The sequence below is a fragment of the Homo sapiens genome, chromosome 22 (genome assembly GCF_000001405.40).
Source record: "Homo sapiens chromosome 22, GRCh38.p14 Primary Assembly".
Lineage (NCBI taxonomy): Eukaryota > Metazoa > Chordata > Mammalia > Primates > Hominidae > Homo > Homo sapiens.
Genome location: NC_000022.11, coordinates 37,424,650 through 37,434,513, shown reverse-complemented (window position 1 = coordinate 37,434,513; position 9,864 = coordinate 37,424,650). Strand labels below are relative to the sequence as shown.

At 56.5% G+C, this 9,864-nt stretch overlaps 1 protein-coding gene across 2 annotated transcripts in view; it reads left to right on the top strand.

The window, feature by feature from the left end:
* Positions 1-7,034: 7,034 nt before the first annotated feature.
* The window catches only part of ELFN2 (extracellular leucine rich repeat and fibronectin type III domain containing 2), an 86,836-nt gene continuing 84,006 nt past the window's right edge, over positions 7,035-9,864 (top strand). For both annotated transcript variants that reach the window (NR_110512.2, NM_052906.5), the window contains exon 1: positions 7,035-7,216. The gene's annotated coding sequence lies outside the window, so the exon portion shown is untranslated. The remainder of the gene's footprint in view (positions 7,217-9,864) is intronic.

The following is a 9,864-nucleotide window of genomic DNA, read 5'->3' as shown; positions in this document are numbered from 1 at the left end:
ACTGTGTGATCCTGGTCAAATTGCTTAGCATCTCTGAGCCTCTGCAGTCAAATGAGAATAACAGAAGTACCTCGTAGATTGTTGTCATTATTCACAGAGACTTTAATTCATGTAGAGCACATGGCACCAAGCCTGAAGGAGAGTAAACACCTCCTTTTTGAGCTATTATTACGATTTTAGGAAGAGTGTGGCCAGGTTGCAGAAAACTCCAGATGCCAGCGTAAGGAGCTGGCGCTTTACCCTGTGGAGTCAGAGACCAGAAGTTTTTGAGCAGAAAAAAGAACATGAAGAAACCAGCCAGTCAGCTCCTTTCTAGCCCCTACAGCATCTGGAACCTCGGAGCCGGCAGCAGGTCAGCAGTGACAAGCCCAGCCATGAGGCCGGTGACCTCCAGCTCCCAGGAGCTGCCGGCTGCCCCAGTTCCGGACCCAGGCAGCAGCCTGCCCCCACCCCCAGCATCTCCCTGGAGGGAGCCAGATAGATGGTTTAATAATGCAGGCTGCCGGGCTGACCTCGTAGCCGCTGAGCCAGCTGAGGCTAACTCCGCTCCCCCTGCTGTGGCTCCCGCAGAATTCCAGAGCTCCCTGCAAGGGTGCTCAGATCCAAATGGCAGCCACACAATAGTGCGGGGTGCAGTGGCCTCTGGCTAGGGGACAGAATAAGTCAGGCAGATGCAGAGATCTGAGCCTTCCTTCCTCCTCCTCCAGCTCTCCCTGGGGGTGTCTCAGAGGAGTCTCCTGGTTCAGAGAGCTGAGAGGAGGCCATCTGCCATGGGGCTGTAAACACTCGGCAGATCCCGCTTCTGTTGGAGCAGGCCTCGGGGTTGGGGGGAGGGGGATGGACACTCTCGGTCTGGCCCTTGCACCATTGGGTGGGGCAGCTCACCAGGACCCTCCCCAAGCACCTGCTTGTGACTGGCAAGGGGCTGGGCACCCATGGCACAGATCTGGATTAGATGGTTGAATTGGCTGAAAATGGCTCACCTTCTAGTGGAGGCAGCCGGTGTGTCAAAAGGGGTGTCCCCCATTGTCCTCCTGTCCCCTCCCTATCTGACAGCACACTCCAGGGCTGCTCTACCAAGACTGGCGGGGAGGCAGCCTGGCAAACCTCACCATCCAGTCATCTCAGCCCCAGCCAGGCAAGCAGGGTGCCATCAGCACCTCTAATAGGGTTCTCTGGGGTCCCTCCCATAGCTGGGTCTCTGGACCTACAGGCATCCACGTGGACACTTCAAAATATCCCCCAGAGTGTGGCCCTGGCCTTTGGTCCTCACAGGCACCCCCTCACTGGGGCCACACCTTCGGCCACCTTTGACTCTTGTCCAGCCCTAGGGTCTTTATGCACATTCTTTATGCATCATTAGCCTTGAGCTGCCCTTGGTCTATAAACAATGAAGACCATAGGCTCTCAGAATCATGGACTCCTAAGGAATCAGGCCATCCTGTGTTGGCTGCCACTCCTCTAGTTCTGTTTTCGTCTTTGATAGTCTGGATGCAGAACACAGAACTTCCTCAACTTCCCCAAATATAATTGATTGATCTCAAAACCACTGGCCCCCAAGAGGGCTCCTGATGGTACCTCCCTCCTGGGCTCCACCCCCTGTGTGGTCCCCTCACTACAATGAATGGGTCAGATCCATGGAACCAACGGGAAAGCAAAAATGAGTGTTACTTCTGAGGACAGGTCTTAAGAGACACAGGCTTCCTACTTGTTCTCACTCTGGAGAAAGCAGCCGCAATGTTGTGAGGACACTCAAACAGTCCTATGGAGAGGTCCATGTGACAAGACACAGAGGACTCCCACCAACAGCCAACACCACCCTGCCAGCCACGTGAGGGAAGCATCTCAGAAGCAGATCCGCCAGCCCCAGTCCAACCTTCAGATGGGTGGAGCCCCAGCTAAACATCTTGACTGCAAGTTTATGAGACATTTCAAGGCTGAATCACCCTCTCCCAAATGCCTGACCACAGAAACTGTGAAATAATAAGCATGTCATTTTGCAGATTTAAGCCACTGAGTTTTGAGGTAATTCATTACAAAGCAATAAATGACTCATAGGAGAAACACGCAGACTTTTCTGAAGGGAGTGGGGGGAAGGAGGTGGTAGGGAGACTGAAGTGGGGGAGGGGGCTCGTAATGTACACACCACAGCAAAAGAATGTCAAAATCCTTCCTAGAAATACATGTGTTCTTCGCAACTAGGCCTCCTGGGCGGGTCGGCTTCCCTCCCTGTCACCTTCCTCCCGACTTGTGGTCTCTTCTCTCTCCTACTCATTCTCCCCCAGGCCCCAGCATCTGACAACTACCTTCATCCTTGCATGCCCTGACCTGTCACAGTGACCAGAAAAACAAAACACTCCTAGATAAGAGGACCCACCTTCCCCAGAAGGCAGCTCAGCCCCCATCTCTTCCTAGTCCACTTGGCAGGGTTCCACCGTGGGCAAGGACCACGCTTTGCCTTCCAGGCCCGTCTTTTTCTTCCAGGCTCTGTCTCACCACTGGCTCCTGTCCTCAGCGAGCTGATGTCCTCAGTTCCAGTACTGGAGGCGCAACAGAAATGTGATTTTAGGTCTGGATCCAAAGGAGGAATGTGACACCCCGCACAAGCTCTGGGGTGTGTGTGTGTGTGTGTGTGTGTGTGTGTGTTTCTCTGAAAGAATCACTTTAACCTAATTTTCTTAGCATCAACTCAAAATGCCACTGAGACCAAGTGAAGAAAATTTCACCTAAGTACAAAGGGTAAATCTTGTTATTCACCTTAAACAATGCGTGAAGCTTTTAGCATTTCTATGTTCCTCTCACTCTTCCTCCTCTGTTCTCTAAGCTTTGAAGAAAGGACGACTTTCTGGAAAAAATGTCTTTCTAGTGACGTGGCCAGGGCAGTGGGATCATTTGGATGTGGGCCATGCTTGTTCACCTTGAAAATAAAGGGCACTTTCTGGTGAGCTGTCAGCCAGGGGCAGCTCCTGTGCACCTCTGGGAGAAGGCCGAGCAGATGGGGTTCTGGGATGCAGGGCAGGTGCCCAGCCCACCCATGTCACCTGGCACTGACATTTCGAGGATGGTTCTGCTCCGGTTAATTTTCCTGTGCACGCGTCACTCCACCCACAGCGCAATTAGCCCAGCTGAGGGCAGGAAGTGGTACCTGGATTCACATTCCTCCAAGACTGTCCATGGTGGTGGGGAGAGGAGAAATTAGGGCGCTGGTGGGAAGGGGGGGTGGATGCTGTGTGCCCGGAAGAGAACCTCCTAACGTCTAGATTGGTGGCTTATTAATAAGAATAATGTGTGAAAATGGCCTTGCACAGTGCCTGGCCCTGAGCGAGCCCCTGACACATGGTTGCTACTTGATAGAGGTGACCAAGTGAAGAATAAGCTGGGGGAGGTGGACACATAGAGAATGAATAATGACATGATGTGATGTGTGCTGTCACTGAAGCCTTGCAGAGTGTTCTGGGAGCCGGTGGAGAAGGAAGTAGCTCAGCCAGCTCAGTTTAGGAGTGGTCAGGGGAGGCTTCACTGAGGAGGCGGCTTTCAAGCAGTACCTGAGGATAGGTAGAAAGTAGACAGGTAGGGAAGGGATCTGAGAGGAGGAAAGTCCTCCCACATCAAGGGAACAGGATCAAAAGCACAAAGGTGTGAAGATGATGGGGTGACAGATCCAACTCCATCTTCTATATGGTGGCAGAAAGTGAGTCTGGAAAGGGCAGATATTGGTGTTGCTGGGACCCAGAACATATGTGGGATGATATTGAAGATGCTGGAGGAATAAATAAGGACCAACTGCAACGGGCCTTATTTAGGCAAGTTAAAGAGTTTGGAGTTTTGGTCAGGTGCGGTGGCTCATGCCTGTAATCCCAGCACTTTGGGAGGCTGAAGCAGGAAGATCACCTGAGCTCAGGAGTTTGAGGCCAGTCTGGCCAAAATGGGGAAACCCCGTCTCTACTAAAAATACAAAAATTAGTCAGGCATGGTGGTGGGTGCCTGTAATCCCAGCTACTTGGGAGGCTGAGGCAGGACAATAGTTTGAACCTGGGAGGCGGAGGTTGCAGTGAGCGGAGGTTGCACCACTGTGAGTGGAGATTGCACCACTGCACTCCAGCCTGGGTGACAGAGAGAGGCACTGTCTCTAAAATAAATAAATAAATAGTGTTTGGATTTTATCCTGTAGCAGAGAGGGCTTACCATTCATCTCTGTATTTATTCCTGAGGCAGACATCACCAATTGATCATGCCATTTTCTGCAAAGGGTGAGCACCTCTAGGCAGCTGCTGCCAATCACTTGTCATGAGAAAGAGAACATATTTGCCTCTGTGCATGGGCTCTGGGGAGCTACTGGAGGGTTTAAACAGATGGGTGGTGAGGGAGTTTGTTGCAGGTATCCAGGTGACGGCAAGCCTGGTCTGGGGCAGTGACTGTGGGAATGGACATGTTATTGCTTACGTTTGTCTCGGTCTTAACCATTCAGCTACGGATTCTAGGCAGTCTCCTGAGCTCCCCGCTCCCCGCATTCCCAGGTCCTCAGGGTTCCCTGTGTGTGTGTCTGTGTGTTTGTGTGTGTGCATTAGGTCTGCCTGGGCTTGATTTTAATAAGGAGCTTGCTATATGTCTGGAGCTGCACTATCTCACATGGCAGCCACAAGCCACATTATGGCTATTTAAATTTAAAGTAATAACAATTAAAATTAAAAATTTAGTTCCTCAGCCACATTAGCCACAATTCCAATCACTCAATAGCCACATGCAGTTAGTGGCTACTGTCTTTGACAGTGCAGACATGTATCCTTTCCACTATGGTCTAGAGAAAGCCCAGTCGAGTGTCTAGATGGTGTGGTCCACTATGACCCTCAGGCCAGGCCAACTCTATCTTCTATATGGTGGCAGAAAGTCAGCTAAGAGCTGAAACTCTTGTCAATGTACATCTGCCCAGTAAGGGCAAAGTCTCCAAAGGGAGATTCTTAGACCGTTTTAGAGCTTCAAACAAATTCTGACCAAATCCAGCCAGACCTGGAGGTCTCCAGGGAGAAGGGAGTGGCCGGCACTGTGCTGGGGGTACTGGCTGCTTTTGCTATATTTCTTTCACAAAGGAGGAAACAGGCTCAGAGAGGGTTGTGACTTGCACTCTGGAAGATGACTGGGAATGTCTCGGAAACAGAGCAGCAAGAGGCTGTTTTGCCACTGACTCCCTGGTATTCTTTGGGGTCATCACTGCTCAGTTTCTTGGGCAGGAGCGGATTAGGTGGCATCTGCCAGTGCCCATCTCAGAAAGTGTCTGGGCCTGAGAGCCACAGGGGGGCTGTTGGCTTGGGGAGCACTCTAATTTCTCGAGGGATCCGCCAGAGGGCGCAGAGGCCGTTATGTTCCGCCTGAGGGGCTCTTCCAGCAAGGTCTTGGAGCTGGGACCCTGCTTCTTGCCCAGCCTTGTCAGGGATACACACCATGTGTTGGATACCGCCCCTGCCCTGTAGGAGGGCTCAGTTTAGAGGGCAGAGACAGCACATGGCTTGTTTGGGTTTGCAGCGAGGGACCTTGAAGGATGGGTAGGAGTGTGCCAGGCAGCCTGGGGTGCAGGTGGGGAACGCCCAATAGTCCTTCTGCATACCCCAGGACAACAAGTGGCCTGTGACCCAGTGCTTGTCTGCCCTCCCAGCCCCATCCTGGGCCGTTCCCTGTTCTTAGTTGAAAGGAGGGAGGAATTTCTGGACAGACGTTCTTTCTGCTCTACTAATACCCAACTCCGTGGAGTTCCCTGTACACACATACAAAGCTGTTTCATGCCTCTGTGCCTCTTTGCACATGCTGTTCCCAGAGTCCAGGACACCCTTCTCCTCCTTCTTTAGCTGGCCAACTCCTACTCATCCATCAAGATTCAGCTCAGGCAGTGGCTTCTTCTGGGGAGTCTCCTTATTCCAGACCTGCATGAGATGTCCCGACGGGGAGTTCCCGCAGCCTGGACTTCATCTGCTGTGCAACACCTGAGAACAGGCGCTGGTGCATGCGGTCCTATAAAAGTGATGGAGAAGTACAGGGCCTGCTGGCAGCAGGCCTCCGACATGCAGCTCGCAGGGCCTCGGGAGGAGGTGCTTGCATGCCCAAGCACCAAGTTATAGGCCCCGGGTGCCAGGCTTCTTGCATCTTCCACCTCCTCCTCCTCCTCCCAGCATCCACCCCTTTGCAGGTGGCAGCAGGTGGCAGGGGCTTTGGCGTAAGGGGCGGGGAACTGGGCCTCTGGAAGGCTAATGAAGGTTCTCTAGCTACAGATGAGCCCAGTATCCCTTGGACCTACTCCTGGAGGGGTGGGGAAAGGCAGTGAGTGCCCTGGCACAAGGTAGGGGAGCGTAAAGTCTAATACTGTCTGTAGGCTCCCTGTGTAACCTTGGGGGAATCACTCCTCTCCGAACCTCAGTTGTCTGGCCTGTAAAATGGGAACGCAGCAGCCGCACTTCCCCAGTCGCCAGCGGTTGAACGCGGGACCAACCAGCAGGGCGCAGGCGGCAGGGCATGGAGGTACAAGGCGGAGAGGGGGCCCATCAGCGGAGGCGGAGTCCAGGGGGAGGGCGAGTCCAGGCGCACTTCGGGCGGCCCCGCCGCAAGTTTGCCCCCAGCTGTTGAATGCGCTGGCGGAGGCCGGACCCGGACCCGGACCCGGATCCCGCGGGGTGAGCAGCGCAGGGGGCCGCGGCCGGGACAGGGGTCCGCCAGGCCGGGGCTCGGGTCCGTGGGGCCGCCTTCGCCTCCCCGGGCGCTGCAGCTGCAGCGGCGGCGCCAGGCGCGGCCCCAGCCCCGCGGGCGTGTGTCTGCGAGCGCGCGTGTGTCCGTGGAGCGTGCGGCCGGCTCGGGGGCGGGAGCGGGCTTGCTGCGGAAAGGCCTGCGGAGGGCACCGGGAGCGGGCGGGCTGGCGGACGGACAGACGGGGACGGACAGACGGACACAGCCTGCCGCGGTCCCTGACGCGCGCCGCTTGGCCCCTCCCGGGCGCCCTCCCCGCCGAGGCAGGGGCAGAGGCGCGGCGGCGGGGAGGAGGGGGCGGCGGCGTCTGCGCGCACACGCGCGCTCCCAGACACACACACAGACACACGCGGGCCACCCCACGGCCACGCACCCCGCACCCACACCCGCGCTCACACTCACATTCACACTCACACTCACACGCGCAGGCCCCGCGGCCGCCGCTTCCCGGAGGCGGTGCTTGGCCCGGATCCCGGCTGGGGCTGGGGTAAGTGAATTCCTCTGGATCCGAGCGCCGCGACCGACCGACCGGGGAGACGGTGGGAGTCGGGGCTGGAGCCGGAGGGCACCCCCTCCGTCAGTGGGGGTGGGGCTTGGAGAGGGACACGGAAGGGGGGATGAGACGGGGAGAGCCACCCCCAGTGTCTCCTGGGTCTGGGGATCCCCGTGAGACCCCCGGGGGACCACCCTGCGCGAGGGAGGTGGTGGTGGTGGCGGTGGGCGGAGGCGGTGGGAGGACACCGAGGACGGTCGGTGAGGTGAGCGTTTCTGGGGGTGGTGCAGAGGCTCGATGGTGGACGGTGTGCCAGCCGGTGCCACACTGCACCTCTCTGCCCTCATCTTTTCGAATCGGGGGCCCTAACCCCTCTCTTTCACGGGGTGCTGCCGGGTCAAGGCATTCATCCTCTAGCTGGTAAGAGGGGTTGACGGGGTGGATGCCTTCTAGGGGAAGGGGGGCCAGGGTGGGGCTTGACGGCGGTGGGGTTGGTAAGACCAGAATTGGGGGGTGGGGACCCTTTCAGAGGCGCTGGCCAGGGACAAGGAGGGAGGCAGCCCAGGGAGGCGGCATAAATCGCAGACACTGCAGCTCTGGCAGGGCCGGGGCCACTGCCGGGTGTGTGTGTGTGTGTGTGTTTGTGTGTGTGTGCGAGCGCGTGCCAGTGTGTGTGTGTGCGTGCGTGTGTGGGCTCCAGCAGCTGTCAGGGGACGGGGAGGGGGTGGGTGTGTTGGCTGGTGGGGCGCCGTGTGCATGTGGAGAGGATTGTGCGTGCTGTGTGTGTGTGGTGTGTGCGTGTGTGTGTGGACATGGGGTGGACCCTGCTCTCTGTCTGTATACACACAAGCGCACACACGCACACTGTCAGTGGCCTGGCAGGATTTCCTCGGAATGTTTGGAGGGAAGGGAGCTGATGTGTGTGTGTGTGTGTGCGCGCGCGCGCGTGTGCATGCACACTCGGGGAGCTTGTGTCCAAAACAGAGGCCACAGGCCATGGTGTGTCAGGCGTGCCCAAGGAGGGAGACGAGAAGGGGACAGTGGTGCTGACCGTGCACTCAGCTGGGGAGGAACGTGGTACTCGGCACTTTCTGCAGCTCAGGGCTCTGTGCTGTGCCCCTTCCCCCTGGACTCCTCCCACCCAGCAGCTGCGGCTGGAGGGCACTGCCTTGGTCCCTTGCTGAGACGCAGGTGTTGGGCTGGAGTGTGTGTGTGTGTCTGGGCTGCGGCTGTCGCTATCAGCAGGCCAGGCTGTCGGAGTCAGAAAGCTGGAGGGAGTGGGGTGCTGGCAGCACCTGGAGGAATGTGGTGGAAGCTGTGGGGCGCGGACTGCCCGGCGCGGTTACCGAGAGGCGTTTTAATATGCAAGTTGCATCATGAGATGGGACTGGGAGTGTGTGTGTGTGTGTGTGTGTGTGTGTATGTGTATGTGCATGGCTGACACCCCTGTTCTCGTGGCCCGTGGACACCTGTGGGACGTGTCACGTCTGGGCCATCAGCAAAGCATGTGGGCATGTGTGTCCCCTGAGAGGGGTGCACAGGCAGGTGCTGTCCTGATGAGCCGGGGGCCCTGCAACTGTGTGGGTGGGGAGGTGGGTACCTCTGGGCCATCAACGCCTAGGCAGGAAGAAAGAGTGTTAATTGTGGGGACATCAGGAAAAAGTATGTATGTGAGGTCAGTGAGAACCTCAGGTGTGACATAAGCTCCAGGCCGCAGGTGACGTCACTGGGACAGTTTTGTCGGAGGTTGCTCCCCCCAGCCAGAGTGTGTAAATGTGATGTCACGGGAGTGTGTGTGGCCGAGTGTGGTTATGTCTCTTGTATATGAGGGGTGGGAAGGGGAGAGGGATGGAGCCTTAGGACGCGTGGCGTGGTCCCTCCCAAGAGGCCGCCTTTCCCAGCATCCTGAGTGGGCATGGGACCCCTTTCCTTAAGTCCTGCCCCCTGAAGAGTGCACCTTCCAGGACTGGAACCCCCGAAGGAGGTTCTCACATCAGCACCATTGGCTGCTGAACTCCTTTGCCAGGTGGGCCTGGAGGCCTCCAATGTGCTGCAGCCCCCTATCTGACCTCCCCAGTCCCTGTTTTCCTCTTCATCCCAGCCAGGCCCACCACCCCTGGGTGGATGTGCTTTAATGAGTGAGTGTGTCAGTGCATGTGACAATAGAAAATGGCCATAGCCAGGGAGCGTGAGGCCATTGGTTCGAATCCCATTTTGCTGCTTTCTGTGTTTTGTGATTTAAGCATTCGCGTCGCCTCTCTGAGCCTCAGTCTCTCCTCTGTAACATGGGGTGAGGGGTTAGAGAGGTGAAGGGGGTTAAGGAGACCATGGGCCTTGTGGGGGGCGGGTGCTGATGCCTGGCATATGGTGGGGGCTCAGTCCACGTGAGCTCTGTCCTCTCACCTCCTATCCCCCTAGCCCAGAGTAGCTGCTTTCCTGTTTTGGTTTAAGTCTAACTTTGCAAAGGACTTTCTTTTCTTTCCTTGGATTTCCACGGCAGTTCTTTGAGGTGGGTGAGTTAGCCACTATTATGTGGATATTTGACAGATGAGTAAACTGAGTTCTGGAATAAGCTGTCTGTTGATTTAATGTGAATTCCATCCCCCCCCCCGCCGCCCTCAGTGGCTACAGGGAGACACATT